At 37.6% G+C, this 23,799-nt stretch overlaps 1 protein-coding gene across 3 annotated transcripts in view; it reads right to left on the minus strand.

Annotated features, from left to right (window-relative positions):
• The window catches only part of CALCR (calcitonin receptor), a 150,239-nt gene continuing 126,645 nt past the window's right edge, over positions 206–23,799 (minus strand). For all 3 annotated transcript variants that reach the window (NM_001742.4, NM_001164737.3, NM_001164738.2), the window contains 6 exons: positions 19,324–19,477; positions 13,930–13,990; positions 13,780–13,846; positions 11,672–11,890; positions 9,973–10,014; positions 206–2,309 (listed from right to left, as the gene is read on the minus strand). In NM_001742.4, the coding sequence (NP_001733.1) occupies positions 2,076–2,309; positions 9,973–10,014; positions 11,672–11,890; positions 13,780–13,846; positions 13,930–13,990; positions 19,324–19,477 (777 nt within the window). In that variant the 3' untranslated portion in view covers positions 206–2,075. The remainder of the gene's footprint in view (positions 2,310–9,972; positions 10,015–11,671; positions 11,891–13,779; positions 13,847–13,929; positions 13,991–19,323; positions 19,478–23,799) is intronic.

Below are 23,799 nucleotides of genomic sequence, written 5' to 3' on the forward strand. Positions count from 1 at the left end.
GAGAACAGTGTCACTGAATTTACAATCAAATTGAGACTAAAGATGTTTGTACTAATAAAGATAATAACCTTGATATTTTTGTGTATGGTTTCTAACCTATGCTTTTAGATTATCTTTCCCACTCCTACAGTACAAATGAGATGGGATGGTAGCAGCCCATGGCTGAAATCAAAAACAGCATGGAATGAGCAGGAGACGAGATGAATGAATGAAAAGATGAATAATATATTTCTTTAGAAAAATATGCAAATATACATCTTTTTGCTTTTAACGTACTCTGTATTAATTTATACATATACACAAGCATAAGCATTTCACATAATTTGGGCAGAACTATGTGCAATTCTATAATAAGCTATTTTGTTTTCTTCAACCCCTACTATATTAGCATAATAACATCTAAAATATTTTAGCAATATATTATCACATTTGTACCACAGCTGCCAGAAATACTCTGTTTTCCATGTTTGTAAACAAAAATAGAACAATACTACATAACACTGTGATTGGAAAAATACCTTCTTTTCGATCCCCCCCTTACATTCAGTAAAGGAGACTTAAACTACTTTAGTATCCCAAATTCATTTTCTCTGTAGAAATATAATTAATTTTCTCTGGGTGCGCTAAATATGTAACCATAACAAATCAATTTATTATCTTTCCACAACTAAATCACTTCTGAAAGGCAGTGGCAAAATATGACATAGATGAGACTGGAGATTTGGAGGGTTTCAATGTACCTCCTCATTTAGCATACAAATTAAATAATGGTAACTCTGATTACTGTTGCAAATTCACAAATTAATTTCAGGTGCCAGTAACGATACTGGTTTATTCAGGATTTTCAAAAATCTTATACTGGGAAGTAAAGAGAGATATGATAATATAATACTGGATTTTAATGAGAAACGTTAAACATGAATTGATTTATGGTTAAATTTGGAGCAGTTAATTTTTTCCCCTCCTGTTTTGGTAATAACAAGAAACAAGCGGTCAACCACAAGTTGATTTCTAATTAGCCCTCCTGGATCTTCCTGGAAAAGCCTGAGCTCTTTTTAAGCTTTGAAGCTGGGTGGAAAGCAGTTAATGGACTTATGTGGAGTCTTTTAATTACCAATATTCAACAAATTTATCTTTTACTGCTAGATAGCACCCAAGGGCAAGAGGTAATCTGCTTTATAAACCTTGGAGTAATTTGCTTTATAAATCCTGGAGTTTAGGGGAGTGGCAAACTCTCTTTAAAGGGAGTATTGTCTTCCACTAAGAATTATATTTTTGGCAGTTTTGTAAAAATTTTTAGTGATAGATTCTTTGTGACCTCTCAGTTTATAAACATCAGCAACCAAAATACATTCAACATTAAGACCAATTCTTTACAACAGCTAGGTCCTGCCCAATGGACAGGCTTGTCCAAAACCAAGCTGAGCATGTAATGTTTTCAGCAAATTGACTCTAAATTTCTTTTGCATTCAAAGCATACATCTTCCTGCCAAATGCAGGTCTTTTTCTTCACATATTTACTAATCTCTCTATTAGAAAGCCGCTTTGTCTTGCAGAGGTCACGTAGTTCATGTGGTTTACATTGTAAGGATGGTAAAACATCTCAGTAACATCAGAATTGACTGAAATTTAAAAAAATTAAAAATCAGATCCATAGCCAAATACAGAAATAATCTAATTCAAAATCCAGAGTTAAAAATAAAAATATTGACAGTGATTTTAATATTTCAAAGGTATAAATGGCTCAGTATTGACAAGGAGCACCCTGTATCTGAACTAGGTCAATTTCATTGTTTTTCTTTGATACTTTGCTTGCATTACTGTGACATTTGCATCTCAGTCCTGGATGAATGATGGAGTTCACAAGTTGCAGTGGGAGACTCCATTCCTAGACTGTCTCCCAAAGCAACAGTACCAAGAATAACTTTCTTCAGATTTACAATGGACAAATTCACTGAATAATTCTTCACAAATGATATGTTCGGTTCCTGGGAGGATGGAGAATACTTTAAATGCATGGTCTTTCTCCCAGGAAATGATGGCTCAGTGATCACGATGCTGTGTTTGCTTCACATTCAAGCAGATGACTCTTGCTCTATGATATTCAAAGGGATGATCTCAGCACTCTCCTCGCCTTGGTTGTTGGCTGGTTCATTCCTCAGCTCCTGATGGCAGATGTAAATTGGGATGTCGCCAGCCTCCGCAGCAGCGGCTGCAGCGCGAGCAGAGCGGTTGGAGGGGCGCCTCCCCCAACGCTGGTTCCACTGAATTTTGAATTGGGCCCATTGGCGCTTCACGGTGGTTTGGACCTGGAAGAGAAAAAGGAGCCTTGTTTTTATATGATAGTCAGAAATGATCCATGCAAAGTGTACGAACATCGTTCTTAGAGCTTATCAGATTTAAAGAAAGTTAAATTGTAATTCTGATCTAAAGGGCTGGGCTGTGTATGCTGTGGCCACAGAATATATCAACTTGGAAGAAGAATTTGCAAATGGAAGAACTGAGTTACTTGCTTAAATTACCCCTGGCAAGGTTGTTTGCTAGTTTTAAGAAAAGGTTTCTTTAGCTTTCATATCCAATGAATAAAAGTTGATTTGGTTTCACAGGTAATGTGGTATACATGTCATAATAGGGAGAAAGGTTGACCAAACTTTTTATATGCTACCATCCCTGATAAGGCAGAAGTTTTTAATTTAAGTGTGCACATGAAAAATATATATGTAAACCATAGCACAGTTCTGGATTTTATGATAATGGCCTCGTACAGTGAACTTTTCCTTGTCCGACATGACTTGAGATGGGTTATGCCAGATACATCTCTGGTTAATGCCATGACAACTTTTTAAGAATAAGATTTTCTCTTTCTTTTGAAAGACTTCTAAAATGTAAACAAACTTGCCAGACTTGTTTTATAAATACGATAAATTATATATTGAAAACAAGAGGCAAAGATGCTAACATCAGAAAGCTCTAAATATGAAAACTACAATAACCACAACTGAAAACAGTACCACAGACAGTGAATTTGCTTGTCTAGCTCTGCTTTTTATAGAAACGAATTCAATTTAGTAGTTAAGTTCCTCCTTCCTGTTGTCTCCAAACTTCTTGCTTTTCTCTATAGCTGAACAAAACTAAAAAAGAGATTATTGCAATAATCTCTATTCTGTATTTCTGAGTTTCTATTGCTCAGTACATACAACAAGCTTACATAAAAATATTTGCATCAATTTATGATACATCCTTAGTTCATTCTGCTGCCAAACTCACATATGACAGCTAAACACATGAGAGAGAACCTGGGGAATATATAATGTGAACTAAATCATGTAACTACTTGATCATGGGGAATCATTTTATCTACTTTACATTTGTACAAATCTGAGAGATGAGAAAAATGACAGCAAAACTGATTAATGTTATAAAACTATATGTATAATATAAGGCTGAATGGTTCTGTGGCAAATATACTTTTTTTTTCCTGTATCTAGTAGAGTAATAATCTCCTCTGAGAATAATTAGTATTGTTCATATATTTTTAAAGATTTTACTCAGAGAAAGACAAAGTCAAATGATTCCTCAAAAAGCAACTAAAGGGGGTAGTTTATCTTCACACAGCACAGCAACCGTAAGGTTCGAGGTGACAAATGGCAATCAGAATTATTTAGCAATCTGATAATTTGGAATATTAGACTTTTCAGATTATGGAGGCAACACATCCTGAGTTTTGTTTTATTTTGTTTTGGGGTTAATGAGTGCTTGCATGAAGGGTACTTTATATCTAAAGTGATTTAAAACGGACAAAGACAAAAACTTTAAGTGCTAAGGAATAAGGTGGACCATGCAGCTGAAAGTTGTATTGAAAAAAGCCACGCAAGAACAAAAGATAGAATAACAAGTTTCAGCTGTTTATTGAGTGTTTACTAAGTACCGTATCATAAGTATGTGATTTGTATTAACTTATTTAATCCTCACAACAGCCCTATGGGAAGGGCACTACTATCTTCACTTTATGGATGGGGCACTGAGGTTATGCAATGTGTCCAAAATCATATAGCTAGAATGTGGCAAAGCCACAGTACCAAGCAGAGCCTGGCTTTATTTGGGTGGTACTATTACCGTAGCTTTAAATGCCAGGGTTATAATCTAGGAACCATCAAATGCCCCATTGAGAAACTGGGAAATATACAGGTTCAGCACATTTTTGGAGAAGCAATGTCTCCAGTCAAAGGAAGCTGATAGGCCGGTCGTGGTGGCTCATGCCTGTAATCCCAGCACTTTGGGAGGCCGAGGCGGGCAGATCATGAGATCAGGAGATCGAGACCATCCTGGCTAACACGGTGAAACCCTGTCTCTACTAAAAATACTAAGAATTAGCCGGCGCCTGTAGTCCCAGCTACTCAGGAGGCTGAGGCAGGAGAATGGCATGAACCTGGGAGGCGGAGCTTGCAGTGAGCCGAGATCATGCCACTGCACTCCAGTTTGGGGAACAGAGCGAGACTCCGTCTCAAAAAAAAAAAAAAAAAAAGGAAGCTGATAATTTCCACGGATTCAGCATCTCTTAAATACCAAGATTATCCTTGTAGCTGAAACTTACACAGATATTTACAAGTATCCAAGCAGGCAGTTATGAGTTTAGAGTTAGTTTGCAAAAGTATGCAGCATGAAAAAGAGGTCTTTTATTTCTCACCTGTCCTTTTAAAATAACTCCCATAGAGTATCCATTTATATTAATAAAGTACACAGCCCAGCATGGGGCCAAACGGTTTGATTTCTATTTTAATTTTTAAAAGTTATTATTACAGAAAGGTTCACGGCCTTCTTTAATTGCGTCCAAAATTACAACCCATCCTTTTGTGTGGAGATGGCAATGTGCTTTGATTTGTAAACTATTCATATAATAACAGGCCCTTAGCAGCATAAAAAAGACACTTAAAAAATTATAGACTAATAAGGGCAATTATCTCCTACAATATCACAGGTTGAGTCTGATGCTGCTCTGATGACAAGAATAAGGGCATTTAATCTGAAAAACAAAACAAAACAAAACAGGGAGAGTTTTGTTGCTCCTGAAAATAAATGTTTTCAGTTGTAAGTGGGATAAATGTAACAACAACAAAAAGATTTGAATTATATAAATTCATCACTCACTAAAAAAGCAATACACACTATTCACTTTACTTTTTTTCCTGATTATATCTATTTATGTATTGCCAACTTATAAAAATAGAGCCCTGGCCTCACAGTTTGAAGACTTAACTATTATACCTGGCTCTATTAATAAGCTTTGTAATATTTGGCCTTTGTATATTTAGGCCTCAGTTCCTACATTTGTACAAAACAAAATAAGTTTAGAGTCTTCATGGTTGGATTTGAATGTTTTTGTCTTTTGCCTTTCTTTTCCTGAGTTCATTCTAAGTACCTACTATAGTTATGTACTGCGGAATAGAAGGTGAGGTTTACCTCTGCAGTTTTGATCCAATGAATGCAAAGATTGTAACGCCCACTCCTTCACACTGTCACCACAATCTAACAGACCTGCTGCAACCTGAGCTTGACATTTAAAAATCATGATTAAAAAAAAAAAAACACTTTAAATTCCCTAGAAGTTAAAAAGTAATTGCACACTTTAGACGGTTTTTTTTTTTGTTTGTTTGTTTTTTTGTTTTTTTTTGAGACAGAGTCTTGCTGTCTCCCAGGCTGGAGTGCAGTGGCGCAATCTCGGCTCACTGCAAGCTCCACCTCCCGGGTTCACCCCATTCTTCTGCCTCAGCCTCCCAAGTAGCTGGAACTACAAGGGCCTGCCACCAAGCCCGGCTAATTTTTTTTTTGTATTTTTAGTAGATACGGGGCTTCACTGTGTTAGCCAGGATGGTCTCAATCTCCTGACCTTGTGATCCAGCCGCCTTGGCCTCCCAAAGTGCTGGGATTACAGGCGTGAGCCACCACGCCTGGCCTAGGTGGTTTTATACAACTTCTGAAAGCTAGATTCGTATTAAGCCCTATTAATTAGATGCTAAGGGATACTTGTGAATATTATTTACAAAGTTGTTGTCAACATTCTTTTCAGTCTTTCGGAGGCCATAGCAGCAATATCTCTACTGGTCTCTGATTTTATCTTACAAAATTTATATGCTCTATAATTTGAGTTGAGTACTTGATTATAGAATCAGAGCTTTCTGATTCCCATTCATTATCTCTTTTCTTATGTTTGGGGAAGATTCCTTGCTCTAAAGGGTAACAATACCTAAGTATCATTTATGATAAAGTTAAACTTTTTGAAAACATTCAGCCATTGTATTTCTTAATTTTCTTAAATAAAATTTCCTACATCTCCCCAGTTCATTAAGTCAAGGTCATCCACTGCTTGAAGAACAAGTGTGATTGTGTCTAGAATAGTGGTTCTTAAAGTGAAGTCTCTGGGTCAGCAGCATCAGTATCACCTGGGAACTTGGTTAGAAATGCAAATTCTCAAACCCCACCCCAGACCTACTGAATAGGAAACTGCTGCTGGGGCCAAGCAATCCCTGGTTTCAGAAATCTTCCAGGTGATTCTGATGTACACTCAAGTTTGAGAATACTGGTCTAGAACAAGGAAAATTATTGCTTAGCATTGAGACTCAAAGCTGGCTTTCTTATGTCTCTAGAAAGACATTGTATTGAAAATCAGGCTTTATTGAGTGGGAGAATTTCTAAACAGAAGAAACTTCTCTTTGCATATGTTGTGAAAATCTTACTGGTCTGCAGATAGTGTTTTACTAAAAGCTACAGGGTAGAGAACATGTAGAATATGATATAGGTAGAGACCCTCACAGACAGGAAGGGGAAGTGGTGAGTGCACAGCCCCAAGAGGCCTGAGAGGAAGAGGAGAGAAAGACACACAAATGGCCTTGCATTTCCCTTCGTGGTGGGAGTACCTGGGAAAATGGGCAGAAGAAATCAAGCAAAAGATCATTTGCTTTCTTAGGAACCCTCCATTACATCAAGTTTTTCTTTTTGTTTCGAGAGCACAGTCCTGAAAATAGCCAGCCCTGAAAAGAAACTCCACATTTGCCCCTGGCACCATGTCCAACAGCGGAGCAGCAACGGCTATGGCATGTGCTGAAGATAGATTCACAGGCTCTATGTGGTGTGAAGAAAGGAGCTGGAGTTCCAGGCTCCTCGGGTGGCTTGGCGGAAAGAACTTGTGAATCAGAATAGGGCTGTGGCTTCATCAAGGAGGCCACAGGTGAAAAGACTTCTCGAGGGCTTAGTAGTAAGGGGAACCAGCGTGAACTTCAACAGCAGGTGCTGGCATTAAAACTTGGTAGCCAGTTGCTCTTTTGGACAAAGGCTTTTTGAATTGACTGAATATTTTCTATAAAGAGACTGCTGTAAACCACTAGAGGCTGGTGGAATAGTCTCTTGAAAGCAAGATAAGCTACAGGAAATAAACAAAATTTTAGCTTTTGCACACTCCAATTTGTGACAGTTAAATGGAGATGTTTCTGATCATGCTACTTCCTTCTATAAACTATTTTATCCACGATGTACGGAGAATAGAAAGACACAAGAAAAGGGAGAAAATCTAGTGTGTTGTTAGAACTTTCATTTCTATGCTACTTCTTGGAAACAAATTGTGCATTTTTATAGCTGCAATCATCTTTTTCAGGTCTCTTAGGTACCTAATAATTTACTGATATGTTTGGATAATCAATGTCCACTCACTTGGAAGAGTCATTGTAGGAAATGCTTGATACATAAGCATGCTCTCATGGTCCTCTCCTGATTTCTATTACTTTAATTCTTCAAGTTCCTTTCCTGCTTCTAGTCTACCCACTGACTCTCTATATAATTCATTTTCATAATGATCATTTCACTGATAACATACCAATAATGAATCAAAATTCAAAAATGAAATAATAATTTCACTGATAACATACCAATCATAATCAAAATTAAATTGCACATAACACAATGTGATGTGATCTCATTATTATGTTGAGTTAGCCCCCTAGATTTCTGCTAAAACTCAGTATTCAGCCAGGCACCATCCCATCACAGCCCTATCTTAGATGCAGCTGGAAATAACTTCCTGCATGTGTGAGTGCCCTGCCTGTGTTCAATATTGTAAGGTGATGCATTCGCAGAATGACCAGCTGAGACCCAGATGCCTAAAATCCATGGGTCTGTGATATTACATCTGGCACAGTACACAATTCTATATTATTAGAAATGTCACACTTTTACCTTCCCCCAGTAACGGGATCTTAATGAAAATGGAAATGGTTTCTTTACTTCAAAATCAGAGATAACATATAGTCAAATGAACTCGAGACATTCAATTGCTAGGGTACCCCTGGGTTTGCTTTCTATGTCTGACACTTCCAATGACAGTATCATAGATAAGACACAATAAATATTGTGGTATTTTTACGAATGCATGCAATCCTCTTGTGTTTTTCCAGGTATGCCCCACTGAGCCTGATTTCTCATATTAGCTCTATTTTGATATTATTTTAGACAAAAAATTTATTTTGCATGCCACCTGAAACAACCCAAAAGGCATGGATATACATTCACAGAAATTGATATAAACACGGGGTGACTTACGCCCTACTCATTTATTAGTTTTTATCATTCTAAAAAATATTAAAATTCTAAAAATATTGCCACTCTAACAGCGGGCAATGGAAGGATGTCTTTTCATTTCTATTCTAGGCCCTTAGTCTAGCCCTTAGCAATAGTAAATGCACAATGTATTTTTGTTGAATGAAGGAATGAGTTGGTAGGTGAATGGATGAAGAAAGAAAGGAATAAAATGTAATAACTAAAATGGAGAATAGGAACAACAAAAACTTTGTCATGTTGCGGTTGGAAACGGGTATGAACAGGTCACAGAATAGCAAAATATTGTAGGTGCTCACTAAATATTATTTAACTTAGTAAAAAGATAGAGAATAAATTAGCAACTGACAATGGCTAGAAATGTTTCTAATTACTAATAGGAAAGTAATATATTGATGTCTTGGCAAAATGTGATTTGCCTTGTATGGAATTATTCTTAATAGGAATTGATTTAAAATGTTCAAAAATGCTTTGGCATTAAAAGTTGTGTGGTCCTAGAAAAAACATACTAACATAGCTCCAGGAAGGAATTATAGATATAGATAAGTTAATTGGGAGTTGGTCAGTTTAATTGAAAAACAGGAAATCTGTGTTCCAGTCTGGGTTATAACCATAAGTGCATTTGTGACATTGGGTAAATCACATGATCTTTCTGGAGTTCAGATTTCTTCCCTGAAAAATGAGGAAGATTTTGAATCATGTTCCCTAAAACCCTGGAAGTTCTTTGGAAGGATGTCTGGAGCTATAGAAGCTCCATTTTTATGTTTTATAGATTTGGCTCCCAGGCAAGATTTGGTTGGAAGAAAGGGTAACTCTGGCTAAAAACACCCTGAGAACAGAATGGATCAGCCATATGGCTCTCTAGATTTTACTGATCTAAATATTCACATTGTAGATTATTTGAGAATCCTTTTTGAATCTTCACTTCAGGGTGATTTTCAAAACGCTGAGTAAGTAGTAGGGCGTTAGCACCAAGCAACTGGAAAAGAAGGTGAGGAACTAGTACAAACCGAATGGAGATTGTCTCTGCCCTAGTGAGGGCTCGGGTCTTCCGAAGGGAATAGGAATATGACTTCTCTTTGTGATGGCATCCAGAATAGCTTTCACTATTGCTCCTGAGGGTGCTGATCTGTTCAAGATGCAACCCAAGGAAATTAACTGCCTGTCTGAATCATATTTGCCATTGTACTACACATCCATGGATAAGATTCAGCTTGGAGTAGTGGAAAAAACATCATGTTGCTAATCACAAAACCCTATGAGGTCAACTGTAGAAGTGAGATGAAATGAAATTTGTACAGAGGCCCTTTGGAAAAAATGCTGCCTTTACACAAACAAGTGATAGTATTATATGAAATGCATGCTTACCTCATTGTTGCAGAAGCAGTAGATGGTCGCAACAAAGAAGCCCTAAAAAGGGAAGGAAAAATACAGTTGAAGTTATTTTTGTGTGCATTATGTTGTTTAGTAAACAATATAATAGACTGCCCAGAGAAGGCCTGATGAAAAAAAAAAAAAGCAAGAAAAAGAATTATCTACCATTCATAGTCAGTGCTGCACTATAAGAATATTCCCTTAGAAATATATTTTTCTTGTTAGGATTCCATCGTTTGGCTAGAAGGACGGATTAATATTTTGCTAATCTAAATAATATTTTGCTCCCTTTAACATGGAGATTTATAGCAGCATATGCTGATTATGGTGAATTTGAAAAAAAAAAACTACACTTAGAAAATTTAAAAATGGAGACCTTGCAGAATTCAGTAGAGGGATCTTTTACAAGACAAGTGTCATAGTGGGAGGCTGTGGGTCTGTGTCCTATGTTGTCATGGTGAACTAGTGCAATACTGTACCCACCGCCAAGTTCATCGCTCAGATAAGGACATGGACTAAGAAACTGCCTGAGTCCTGGTCACTGCTTGAAGATTTCTTGTGCCCAAGTTTTGATTATGGCTAAAAGAACAGTTCGAACTATTCAAACGATCCCTAAACTTTCTTTCTGGCCCTATTAATTTTGACCTCCTCCTCACATTAAGCCTAATATAGAAAATAAAACTATTTTGAAATTTGTAATAGAGACAGCAAAACTCTGGCCTAAGAGCCTGTGATAGAATTACTCCTGCCAAGGACTCCCACATCCTATCTTGCTATCCAAATACAGCATTATGCTTTCAATGGGGCTTTAGATCTGGGTAAAGGTGAATGGAACTAGGGCAGCCATTCTCCTATCCAGTGCGGCAGACACTGGACAGCCCAGGACAGCCCCTGAGAGCCCACTGCATTCTCTCTTACATGAGGGGAGGCCTGGATACAACTTCCCTTTATAGCACTGAACCGTCATGAATGGATTCCTAACATTCACCTGACAAATGGAGAGTGATAGAGCAGGAGGCATGGACAGCCTTGTGCAAATTCCTCATTACCCCAGAGCCAGCACTTATTTATAAAGGAAGATCTGACAATTTCTGTATCTATGACCAAGGAGAACATGCCTGGATGGGACCAGCTGAGGGCCCTGGGAATGACAGGAAAGCAGGCACAGAAAGAAACAGCAACAAAGAGCCTCAAAAAAACTGGTGTCCTTCAGAATTTTGGCTGGGCTTATTGAATTGGAGGCTTAAATGTTATGACATTGAAGATCATGGGCTTGTCAGGCGTGCGCAGTGGCTCACACCTGTAATCCCAGGCCGAGGCGGGCAGAATACCTGAGGTCAGGAGTTTGATACCAGCCTGGCCAACATGGTGAAACCCCGTCTACTAAAAATACAAAAATTAGCCAGGCGTGGTAGCGCACACCTGTAATCCCAGCTACTCAGGAGGCTGAGGTGGGAGAATTGCTTGAGCCCGGGAGATGGAGGTTGCAGTGAGTTGAGATCATGCCACTGCACTCCAGCCTGGTGGACAGAGCGAGACTCTGTGTCAAAAAAAATAAAATAAAATAATAAATAAATAAATAAATAAATAAACAAATAAGTAAAATAATAATAAAAGATCATGGGCTTTAGAGTTAAAATCAGCTAGCTGAATAAGCACAGTAGTTGAATAAATACACCTTTGGCTTCCTTACCTGGAAATGAATCAGAGAGTGCATCACGTAATCATATATCTTCCCAAGCATCTTGTTGGAAGGTCTCCAGGGAAAGACGACAAACTGGATTCCCAGCAGGGGCACAAGGATCATGGTGGCCTTCACAGCCTTCAGGTACATGTGGGATTCCGCCTCATGGGTTTCCCTCATTTTGGTCACAAGCACCCGGACAATGTTGAGCAAAAAGAAGAAATTGACCTGCAAATATACGGTGTTATGAGCAAATCATACAGAAAAGTATCACTTAAGAATATGCACTGTTCTCAATTCTTGTTTATCCAGTGTGAGCAACAAATGTTACCTACATAGAACATGAGAGTCTACCTGAGAGGTAGCACAATTGGCTCAGCATTTCTAGGGCTCTAGAGAAGTGGTTTAATTTTATGTTCCCTCCAGCAGTATATAAAACAGTTCCAGTTGCTCATCACCCTTGCCAACACTTGGTATGAACACTCTTTTTAATATGAGCCTTTCTATGGCGGGGGTGGTGGAGGGGTGTAGTATTACCTCATTCTTGTTTTAATCTGCATTTTCCTGATGATACATGAGCTGAACACTTTTTCATAAATTTATTAGTCTTTATTTGGAACATTGCAGATACCTTCTTGGACTCTAAGTTTTGTCTTTTCAGTCTTTAAATGTTGTCTTCATTTTAATGTAGCTGATTTATCAATCTCTTCCTTAAGTGCCTTTTGTATCCTGCTTTAGAAATCTTTCTGTATCTGAAGCTCATGAAGATACTCAACATAATGTGTCTTTTTGGGGGGCCTCTATTGTTTTGTCTTTTACATTTAAACCTCCAGTTCACTAAAAACACATTTTTTGGTGTCTGGTTGTGGAAGGAATCAGAATTTACTTTTTCCCCACACATATGCAGTTGCTAAATACATGTTTGATATTTTTTCTGTATGTATATCTTATTGACCATCTCCTTCCTCTGCCCAAAAGTGCTGCTGTCATAAATCAAGTGCCCATATTTGCACGGGCAGCTCTTTCAAAATGAGAAAAATCAACTATTAAGGTATAAATGATTCACCTTGTTAATTGTTGAATCTTTTTTTTTAGTTTTGAAATGCACTAATGTGCATTTCCTTTAGTCATGAAATTAATAAGAATTCCAAATATATCAATTTCTGTTAATTTATGGTCATTCACAGTGAAGTATGCATATACTCAACTCAGATACACATTTATAATTTGGATCCTAGAATCTGCATTTCCTTAAAAATTTCTAGATAATTAAGGCAAGAAATATGTATTTTAGAATTTTAAATATAGGAATAATTGCTAAAGTTTTTACTTCATTTTACTTTATTTATTATTTTATTAGGAGATATTTTATAATCGTGAATTTATGAGTAGCTATTATTATTTTTGTTATTTTTAACAGATAAAGATATGGAGCAGTACTAAGTTTTAATGACCTAGAGTTAGAGATTATCTTCCAAAAGTACCTGAAAGATTATTTAATCTAACTTTTCCCTTAAAAAAATCAGGGGACATTTTTAGGTTAATTGATTTATCTAAATTTTCAGAGCTGGTAGATGATAGAGCTAAGACATGAGGCCAAGTCTACTGAATCCTAGGTAAGTAAGAACTGTAGCATCCTCAGTAAGCATCTGACATTTGGCTGGGAGTCCACTATTTATTACTAACTCACTAATTGAGCTTGTGTTGAATATTTGGATTTCTGGACCTTAAGTTCACAGAACCAAAGACTTTTAGAGCTCTGGAATGTCAAAGTTTTCAAAGACCCTAGATGTTCATAACACAAACAAACTTCTTGCAGCCCCTTGGCCTCTCACCTTTACCTAGGAGAATCTAGTTATAAAAATCTTAAAATATGAGCTACATTGCTATTATAGTGTGAGTCTGTAATGAAAATGAGCTCATGATAACCCCTCCATGTGTGAGTAAAAGGCGTTTTTTTGAAGAGTCTAAAATCAAATTGCTTTTTTTTACTACAGAATACCATCAAATTAGCTTCATTTTGAAGTTATAAAACATATGATACATAGAACTATATACACAGAAATCTCAACTAAGAGATAATACTACTAATATTGCAATAAAAAACTAATTCTCACCACAAGTGCCGCCATGACAGGTCCATGGATTATGTAAAGCAAATGGGTTTCCACACTCAGCCAGCAGCTGAAAAAGGGCAAGGGGACAATTAATACACAAATACATTTTGTTTATGAATATGTTAACTTAAACATCACCATAATACTTACTTGTCATTGAAGTACACGGCCCTGGTAATAGCATGGATAGTGGTTGGCACCAGCGGGAACCCTACAAATGTGAAAAGTACAAATCACACTTGGTTTCTTGGTCATAACCTTTAAGTACAGCTGCATGGACAATGGTAGTGTACTTGCAAAAATACTGGCAAATTGAGTGCATCTGTCAAGATGTTCCCCTGATATTTTCACAAAAATCATCTTTGGTCAAGCCAGTCAAAATGCTCCCAGTTAGAACATCATGTGCTTCCTGAGAGTTTGGTTAAGAGCATCCAAATAATTAAAAGCCTTTTACAAATTGCTGAATGTAGCAGGTACACTATGACTATTATTACCATTGTTATGTTTATAATGATGACTATTAACTGAGACCAGAAAGCCTTTCATTGTGGGTGAACTGGCCTCTCTTATGGAGAGGAGCTGGGTCACCCCGGAGGGATGTGACCTGGGACGGTGTATGAAAGCAATAGTCTGATTGCTCCTAAAGCCTTAGCTGATGTTCACATTCTTTCTTCTAGGCTCTTTTGTTTTTCTGTCTGTTTATATCTCATGCAGTGATTGTTTCCTTTTAATATGAATACTTCAGAGAAGCCAGTACATTCCCTACCTTCTGTAGGTTCTGGCTAGAGAAACTTTATGAAGGCAGCTTACTGTACCTCCTTGACTAAACTCAAAGTGCTAGTAAAAAAAAAAAAACTTTTTAATTTATAAACAGAAAAATGGACACAGTTATTGCAATACGTCCTTCCAGATTATAATTTTTTAAATCAATTTTTATTCTGTAGTATAACCTAAAGTTGTAATTTTCATTAAAAAAGAAAAAATAAGTCTTTTTACTCAGATGTACAACAGTAGAATATTGTTTGATTTGATTGAGACATCTGTAGAAAGAGGTTTTGTTATTGTCATCAGATTAAGAAATGTGTCTTAGGAAAGAATTAAATCAATGCATTTTTATTTTCTGTGAGTTATATACAAAAAGGGGTCTCAAAATATTGAATTTTCACCTAAGAACAACCTCAGCTTTTAAACCCAGGAAGCATATTTTCAATAGGACCACAGATTTAATGTTTGGCCTGAAATAATTTTGAGTTTGCTTATACAAAACATGATTGTGTTATTCACAGCAGTTCTAACATACCATTTTCCCACTTGGGCTCAGAAAGAGAAACAAAGTCTCTGGATTTATTTTGAGATGGATATTTTAGAATTAGAGAGAAAGAGAAGTATATGGAAAACTGAATCCCACCTCATCATTTTGTAGAAAGGAAAGTGCTTTCTACTTCATCTGGAGACGAGTATAGACCCCACACCTTTTAACGCCCAGGGCTCTTTGCCTTCTTCTAGCTATGATGCCTCCTTTTAGGTAGTTTGCTTTTTCTGTTTTTTTTTCTTTTTTCTTTCTCTCTCCCCAAGGTCCCAAGATCCATAACAACCCATTCTTCCCACCAAAGATGATGAGATTCAGAATAATCCTGTCTGTGTAGGATTCATTTTTTAAGAGGGATTTAATAAATTCTATTTGTTCAATATAGAAGTCCATGGGGGAAATTTCCTTCCTTTGATTTCTAACAAGGGGAAAACCAGCAAGGCAAGGCAAAGAAACAGTCTGGAGAGGGCTGCAAAATAAGTGATCTTCCTGAGAACTAAACTTCAGTATTTGAAGTTACTTCAATTGGAGAGAAATCGACTACTAAGTGGTGCCATGCAGACTTGGAAGGGAATAACTACTGAAAGAACCATTCTTTGATTTTCTGTTGGGGAGAATTTCACCACCAGATACTTGTTCACCCAGTGGCTAATGTTTACAATATCTCTTATCATTCTTTGAGATTCATTTCAAATCCTAGAATTGGAAACATTATTCACAGCTGAATTAAATGAATGGGCTTTACATCACCTGCAAACAAATTAGGTGCTATAATACAACTGGGCTTTTTTGGGCCATATTTTCTGCAGTCTAACTTTCAAGAATCTTTTAAAAGTATGTAGGTTTTGCTTCTTTTCTGGCATTGTAAAATTTAGAACCTATCATACTGTCTTCATGTGAAAAAAATTTTCAAAGGACAATAAAAATATTATCCAGAAGAGACTTATTCTCTTGCCCCATTAAACTTTATAAAGTTTCTGTGAAACTATTTTTTTCTTGAGAAATTAATTGGTATTAATTTCACCCATTTTCCTCCCATCCAAAGATAATGCTTGCTTAAAATTCTAAGAAAGGAGCCACTGCTTTAAAATATGTCAATTTTGTTCTCAGAGTTCAGATTTGGCAATGTGATTTTTCAGTGGTAATGAGTTTGGTGGAATTTTGGTGTGTGTGTGTCTGTGTGTGTGTGTGTGTGCATGTAGAAAGATAGTCTTAGCTTTGGCATGCTAAAAACATTACATTTTAGAACTATTTGGTTGACTATCTTTCCAAAAGTCCATCTACGGAAGTGCAAATCCCTCTAGTTCTTTTTTTAATTTAAATTTTTATATTATTCTGGCAAGAACAATTAGCATCAGGTCTGCCCTCTAAACAGATTTTTAAGTGCATAGTACAAAATTGTTACCTATAGGCACAATGTTGTACAGCAGATACCTAAAATTTACTCATCTTGCATTACTTAATCTGTATAACCATTGATTAGCAACTCCCCGTTCTGTGCTTACGTTACTAAGTGTAATGTTCTTTGGGATTCTACTTGAATCATTCGAATTGTTGTTGATTACAGAAGCTTAAGGTATCACATAAACAATTTACTTATTATTATTGCCTTTGTTTTTGATACAGCTGAGCAGCTTGTTCCTTTTTTCCTTTGAATTGTTTATGTGTTTTAAGCAGATATCTTCATTGAGCTGTCTATGATGATGCCAAAAAGTTTTATAACTAATTCACAATGCATCAGTATACTCCAAGAGCAGTATAAATTGTTCCTTCCAGGGTGCCCTTGTCTCTGCTGAATGTCACCGACAAGAATACATTTACAGCCTTTTTTTCCCATGAAAAATTTTCTGAGTATGGCAGATAGATGTTTTGAACAATCAAAACTGGTAAAAGAAATATACCACAGATTTTATTTCAAAGGAAATAAATCTGGCAGAAAGTATGTGTGTGTTTGTGTGTGTGTTTGGGGTGGAATGTTATTTTCAGGTCTTTGACTGGAAGGCATTTGATCAACACCAATTATTATGATTGTGATGATCAGAATTGCCATTGCAGTGATTAAATTGTATCCAGTCTATTCTTAGCATGACCAGATTTGGAAATCTAGAAATTGTTGAGAGGGTGTACATACGGATGAGAAGGCCAGGGAAAGGAAAGATTAGTCTCTGTGGAAGGCTGGGGCTAAAAGAGAAAAAAAAAAATAGTAAAAGACCATTTTGAGTAAATTTTGACCTGTTTTAGGACAGGAAAGAGCAGGAGAACCTGTTACCTGATGTGGAACCAGCAGGATAGTGATAGCCTGATTTCTAACCTCACTGGATGGTTAAGGAAACAGGGTGCAGCGCTGCTCTCCTTATAAGGGAGCAGCCATGCAGATGAGGTGATCTGGTGAATATCCTAGACAGCCTGTACAGTTCACAAAGACCCCTTTCTCAGTCCTTTGCTGGAGGGTTCACAATCACTAGACATGTTCACACTATGTGACAACATCCCCCTCAATTTTCTTGGCCACAGTTTATTGAACCAGGGTAGGCTACCTGCCTTCAGTTGGATCAATCAGATTTTCTTGTCCTGCTATTCAGAATTGGAACTTAAAGATGGGCATTTAGTTTCTGTGAGTGCCTGGAACAGAAACATGTGTACTCAGGAAACTTTGGGGCAGGATGTATTTACTATGAAAACTGGAGGGAGCAGAGACCCTATGGTCTATGGCCTGTAAAGAAAGAGAAGGGTAAAAACAGATATGCAAGGAAAAACAAAGACAAAAGGCAGAGGGAGAGAGCTCCTGGCTTATCTGCTCCCAGGCTACAGCCCTTTTAGTTGCCTGGCTATATTTCTGCCCTTAGATTCCATGAGATACGCTAGATTCTGACAACTTCTCTGTATTTGCTTAAGTTAGAACATCTTACTCTGTTGCTTGCAACCAAATAATTGTAGCATCATCAATTCAATTTTGAGGCATCCCGCCTATCTGCCCCATTGACCCACCATTATCGGATTATCCCATTGGGCTTGGGCAATGCATTTGGTTAAAACCATGTACCCCTGTTATGTAAGGGTGTTATGGAAACCAGTATGGCATAACACCAGCCCCTTTCTGCAGTTTACAGACTGCAGGAAAGACTCTAGGCTGCTTATATGACTTCCCAAGCACATTTCTATAAAGTTGGCGACAATGCCTGTTGGGCAGGGCTTTAAATACAAAAGGTGATGTTTTTAAAAAATCCCTTGGATTGTCCTCCCTCCTCACTACACCTCTCCTCTCTTACCAGTACTTGTAGGGGCTCCCCAGCCTGCTGCATTAAAGGGCAAGCTTAGTTGAAGGCCATCCACAGCCTCTGCTCTCAGAGTCACAGTCACCCATCATGTGGGGTGGATGTGGTGAGAGAAGCCCTTGGCTCTATAGTCAGTGAGGGATGGCCCACGAGTTCCTCCTCTGGTATGGAAGTTTCAAGGTAAGGCTGAAACTTTTTTTTTGATAAGGCAGCATGTGTTTTTATCGCAGCATTTATTTTCTTTCATTGCCTCACCTTCTGTTCAGTTCCCTTCCACCAGGGGGAGCTGGACTTTCAGCAGCCCTGGGGGAAAGGGAGCAATTCTAGAGCATCCCTGAAGGACTTCAGCACCCTGCCTTAGTTTGTACGGAAGCAGCCACAGCTTAAACAATCCAGCCCTAAGCTTTCCCGAGCCAATGCCATGTGCTATGATGTCACACAGGCTCTACTTGGAAGCCCGTGTGGTTATATCTGCCTCTCAGCTGGACTCCACTTCCTGAGCTTTCACTGGAGGAATCCTGATGATGGATTGACAGGAAGAAATGTTCTTGATGAAGGAAAATGAAGCCAGGGTAGGGGAGGTACATAATTCAAAATGTGAAATTCTCCTTTGCTCTACAAACATGTGATGAATAAAGCAGAAGGAGGCCTAATCAGATCTTCTCTCAATCAGGACACATTTTGTGTCCATCATTAGCTAGGTTTGTTTCCTGAAGTTACCCTTTGGAAGTCACCCTTATCTTCCTTCTCTGTGCAGACCCTCATGTTCAGCACAGTTGAGATTGTTAAAGGGCTTCCACAGGTCTTTTGGAGACTGAACTCCTGCCAGTACCTGTGTTCCATCATTCCTTGAAGGACCTGGGACTTGACTCTATTCTCTGAGACCAAGACTAGAAGAAGACTGAAAGCATACAGACAGAGGTGAAAGTGACTCAAAACTTAGCTGCAGAAAATACATACCCCAGCCCAAGAGATAATACCACCGCAAGCGTTGCTTCTCAGTAAACACAGCCACGACAATGAGTGTATGAAGATAGATCCCTTCACAGAGCATCCAGAAATAGTTGCAGGCCATCATGTACTGGTGGAAAAAATGCAAAATCTTGCAGCTCACCTGTCAGAAAGAAAGGAAGATACTCAGAGAAAGACACAGGTAAAGATCTGCCAGGGAGCACAGAGCAAATGTGAAAACAAGCCAAAGTATCTGCATTCAGCTTGCAAGGCAGTTTCCCAAGCATCTGTAAACATGTGCCACCTGCTATACCCACAAATCAGAGTGAATGCACAGATCACTGCTATTACATGTAAATAGCCAAATAAGCCAGTGGAAAACTAGTCCACAAAATGTTCTTCCTTGTTGCATTCTGCGGACTTACACAGATGGGTTCATTTTCCTGCAATTTGTCAGACTCATAATCTTAGGCACCATCTAAGGATTTGATGCATGACTTTTATGGCCCCTTTTCTATGGCCAGTGAAGCAAATAACGCAGATATTTTTAATGCTGCTTCTGAAATTCACTGATTTGTTGATGATGTTCCTTTAGCAGTAAAGAGGAGAGAGTCAGGTGATAAATTTCATATATAAACCCAGGAGATACGCTGAGCCTAGCTGCTGTTTATGCTTTTGTTTTCATATGGGAGCCTTGGTTTGTATATTGGGATCAAGCGCTCTCTGGGCACAGAGATTAGGATGACATCCTTGCTGAGAACTCAATGCAGACGTAGGAGCCACACCCTTGGAAGAGTCAGATTAATATTGTTGTCTGTATAGAAATAACCATTGCTTGTACTGCATAATGGAATACTTTTATTTACTAGTCACTCCTGGAATAGGATTTTTCATCTTGGTACATTAGCATTTTGGAGTAGATTTTTGTTGTTGTTGCGGGGGCTGCCTTGTATGTTGTTGGGAGTTTAGCAGTATAACTAATTTCTATCCACTAGATGTTAGTGGCATCTCCCACACACTCTTGACAATCAAAAATGTCTCCAGATGTTGCCCAGTCTTCCCTGGGGAGCAAAATGTCCCCAGTTGAGGATGCGTGACTGAGGGTACTTAGCTGTGCTTATGTCTTAACAACAACAATAATGACAACGGAATTTAGCATTCAAAATCTTAGGTATTAGGGAGTGGTTATTTGCATTACTATTATTTTACCAAATACTCTGTTTTACATTATGCTGCTTCTTACTTTATTTTGAATTTGACTGCATTTTAGGCCTTTTCCTTAAAAAGCAAGATAGCCATGAAGTGACTTTCAGTACTGTAGCAACCTTTTCCGAACCATATATTTTATTTAATGCATAAGAGTAGTAATTCGTTTACTCAAAACCTGTTGTGCTGAGCCAACAGATATTCTACTGTGTTTCCTTTTCTTTCAAGGTTTATTGAACATAGGGAAAAGCCCTCTGGGCCCAGGAGAAGGCAGATATGGCATTGTCAGAGGTAGAATCAACCTCTGATTCTGACCAAAGTGGTACAGTGGTGCAGATAATTAAAAACACCAGGTAATCTAAAAGTAATTTATATTTGGCTCAGAAAAGCACTGGCTTCCCTCCCCGCCATCTGATTACCTTCCTAACTGGGATTATTTAATATAATGTTAGTTTTGTATTTTCTAAGCAAGTACTTGCTATATTTACATAACACCCAAGTATATAAATAAAATGTGAAATTCAGTTGTTACTCTGGATTCATTTGGAAGGCTATTCTTATTTAAAAGCCCTATTCTTTCTGGATCCAGAAATTAAGCATATGTTTTGGAGGCTGTCACTTGGGGAGAAGGAGATGGGAAGAGAACAAAGATGATGGTCTTATGCCTTTGTCACCCAGAGCAATTTTGGCTTCCAGTTTTATATACAGTTAATTATTGTTATTTTCAGTAGTTATGGTCTATAAAGTTGCTTCAAAAACTGAAATAGCAAATACTGAGCCATTGCTTCTAGGGAAAACACATGGTTAGGTTCCTGTAAGCCTCTGGTCACAAATATTTTCACCCAGCAATCAATAGCTAACTTTGTTTTATGTGTTTTGTTTAAAGACAACTTATTTAACATATGTTGCTGCTTCATTCACACTGAACTCTCAACCAATAGCACTATTACTTCTACCTGAAGAAAACTCCAACACACACATATTCTCTGTAAGCCACATCACAGCTTTCTTGTACTTAGGAACATCATACAGCACTTCAGTACTATGCTTGAGGGGCTATTTAAAACAATAAAATCACCAACCAATTTACAAATTCATAAAAATGTAAAAATTGTGGCACTAAATAGACCACAAAAAGGACATTTGTTCGTAGTATGAGAACTGAAACAAGAAGGCACAGAGAGCATTGCCTTCTTTAACCTCAGCTGGGAGCTGTACATCAGGTGGCTCCAATTTCTGGACATTCTGTGAATGTCTGTGAATGATAGCAAATCTGCTAGGAGTATTGATTTGGGGGTTACAAACAATTTATAGGAAAAGACAAATTTGCAAAGGTGGAATTCATGAATAAAAATGAGAATTGACCATATTTGGGTTTGACGCAAGATATTGCTTGGAGGCTAAAGGCCTCAAAAGCTCACACAAATTTTAAAAATCACCAGTCTATTCATTTTTAAAAGAAACACCTCATGAAAATAATTAGAAATATCTAGGTGATCAAGCTGACTATTAGAATTTTTCACAAAAATAGTTTAGCACTTAGATCGGTGTTTCATAACTAAGGTGGTTTATCAGTGTCACCTGATAATTTTTTAAGAAATATACAGAACCACACCTCATCTCTCTTTTTGTTTTCAAACTATTTTTCAGAATTTCTAATTTAGGCCCCTGATTAAGAATCCTGTGCCCAAGATATTCAAGGTAATTCAGTTGCATTCAACAAACATTTATGGAACACCTGCTATGAGCCAGGAACTAAGCTAGCTCTGGGAGTATCAACATGAATAAGATATTGTCATATAGCCCCTGACTTAATTATAACCTTTCTGTCAAGGGTGGAGTAAACCAGGCATTAAACAAAATGATGGGGCCTCTTGATTAGGGTTAGTCCTTACCTTCATTCTGAGATGGTTTCTTAATTAGCAGCATGGGGTATTAAGGAAGTCACTCAGATCAGATCAAATAAGCTAAGCAACTTTCCACTAGCTTTCTAAAGATAAGTCACACCAGTGTAATTTTGTTTAAGTAGTATGATCTTCCAAATTGCAAGACAAAAATCTGCACTCAAATAATATAAATGCATCACTTCCAAGTAAAACAAGAAATACTTGAAGCCAAAAATAGATAAAATTTGTGAGTTATACTCCATTTTATTTTCTTCATTAATATAAAAAGAGATAATTGCCACTGTGAATGATATGTAAGTGAAAGCCATATTATCCACTTTGGCTTCAATGAGTCATATCACTATTCAGTGCCCTTACTACCAGTTCATGTTTTAATAAAACATACAGTTTGTTGAGCAGTATGTAACTTTCAAGCGGAAGGGATCCTTCAGTTTTTTAATTGGGTACACTATTTAATCTATCTTTTCCACAAAATGCCCCAAAGGGCATTTATAATAATTTGATTAAAAATGGAATCAGAATTATAGAACACAGGTTTTCCTTAGTCTAATACATCAAGTCAACCTCAAAACTTCATAGAAGATAGATGTTCAGTAGTGAATTTATTTCCTATTATATTTTTCAAGGACACTTAAGAAAATTCCTCTAATCTACATAACATAGGAAATCTTGTGTGGCAATATGTTCAAGAACCATCGATAGCAAAGAGTGCCTCCAAATGTAAACTGCTTTGGAATTTTTGTTTTTGAGAAACAAGACCAACCTTATAATAGGTAATCAATGTTTTGAGGTGTTTTTCTGTTGTGGTGGGGGTAGAGGAAGACCTTAAGTATGAGAAATAGAGGAAGACCTTAAGTATGAGAAATAGAAAGGAGACCAGAGCTGATCTGTGGAAACAACGAAAAGCAATGATCATGGCCTATGTCCTACTTTTAAGCAATTGAAAATCCACCATGAACTATTCTTGGCATCATTTGCACTACAGGCCTATTACCATGTATAACAGGGAGCTAAGGAATACTATCTTGCCATTCAGAATGCCTTCCATCATCTTCAGAATGCCTGACATGCCATACGGTTTCATTTCTTTAGCTTAAAGCTGTTTTCCTTACTAAAATGCCAATACCTCAGGAAGGGACTACACACACATTTTGTCCTATCACTCTTTGAAACCATAGAGTAGGAAAATTGAGGGGCTGGGGGATCACAGAGAATGCAGATTTGGAATGTGGTTTATCAAATATTTATTGAGCTTGTACTGTATTGCAGGCAGTAGGCTAGAAGATCCAAAGTTGTCAAACAGAGTCCCTACTCCTAAGAAACTCACCATCTTCACAGGTTCACAAAGAGAAGACCCAGGGAAGTGTTGCCA

This window comes from Homo sapiens, chromosome 7, assembly GCF_000001405.40.
Source record: "Homo sapiens chromosome 7, GRCh38.p14 Primary Assembly".
Classification (NCBI taxonomy): domain Eukaryota; kingdom Metazoa; phylum Chordata; class Mammalia; order Primates; family Hominidae; genus Homo; species Homo sapiens.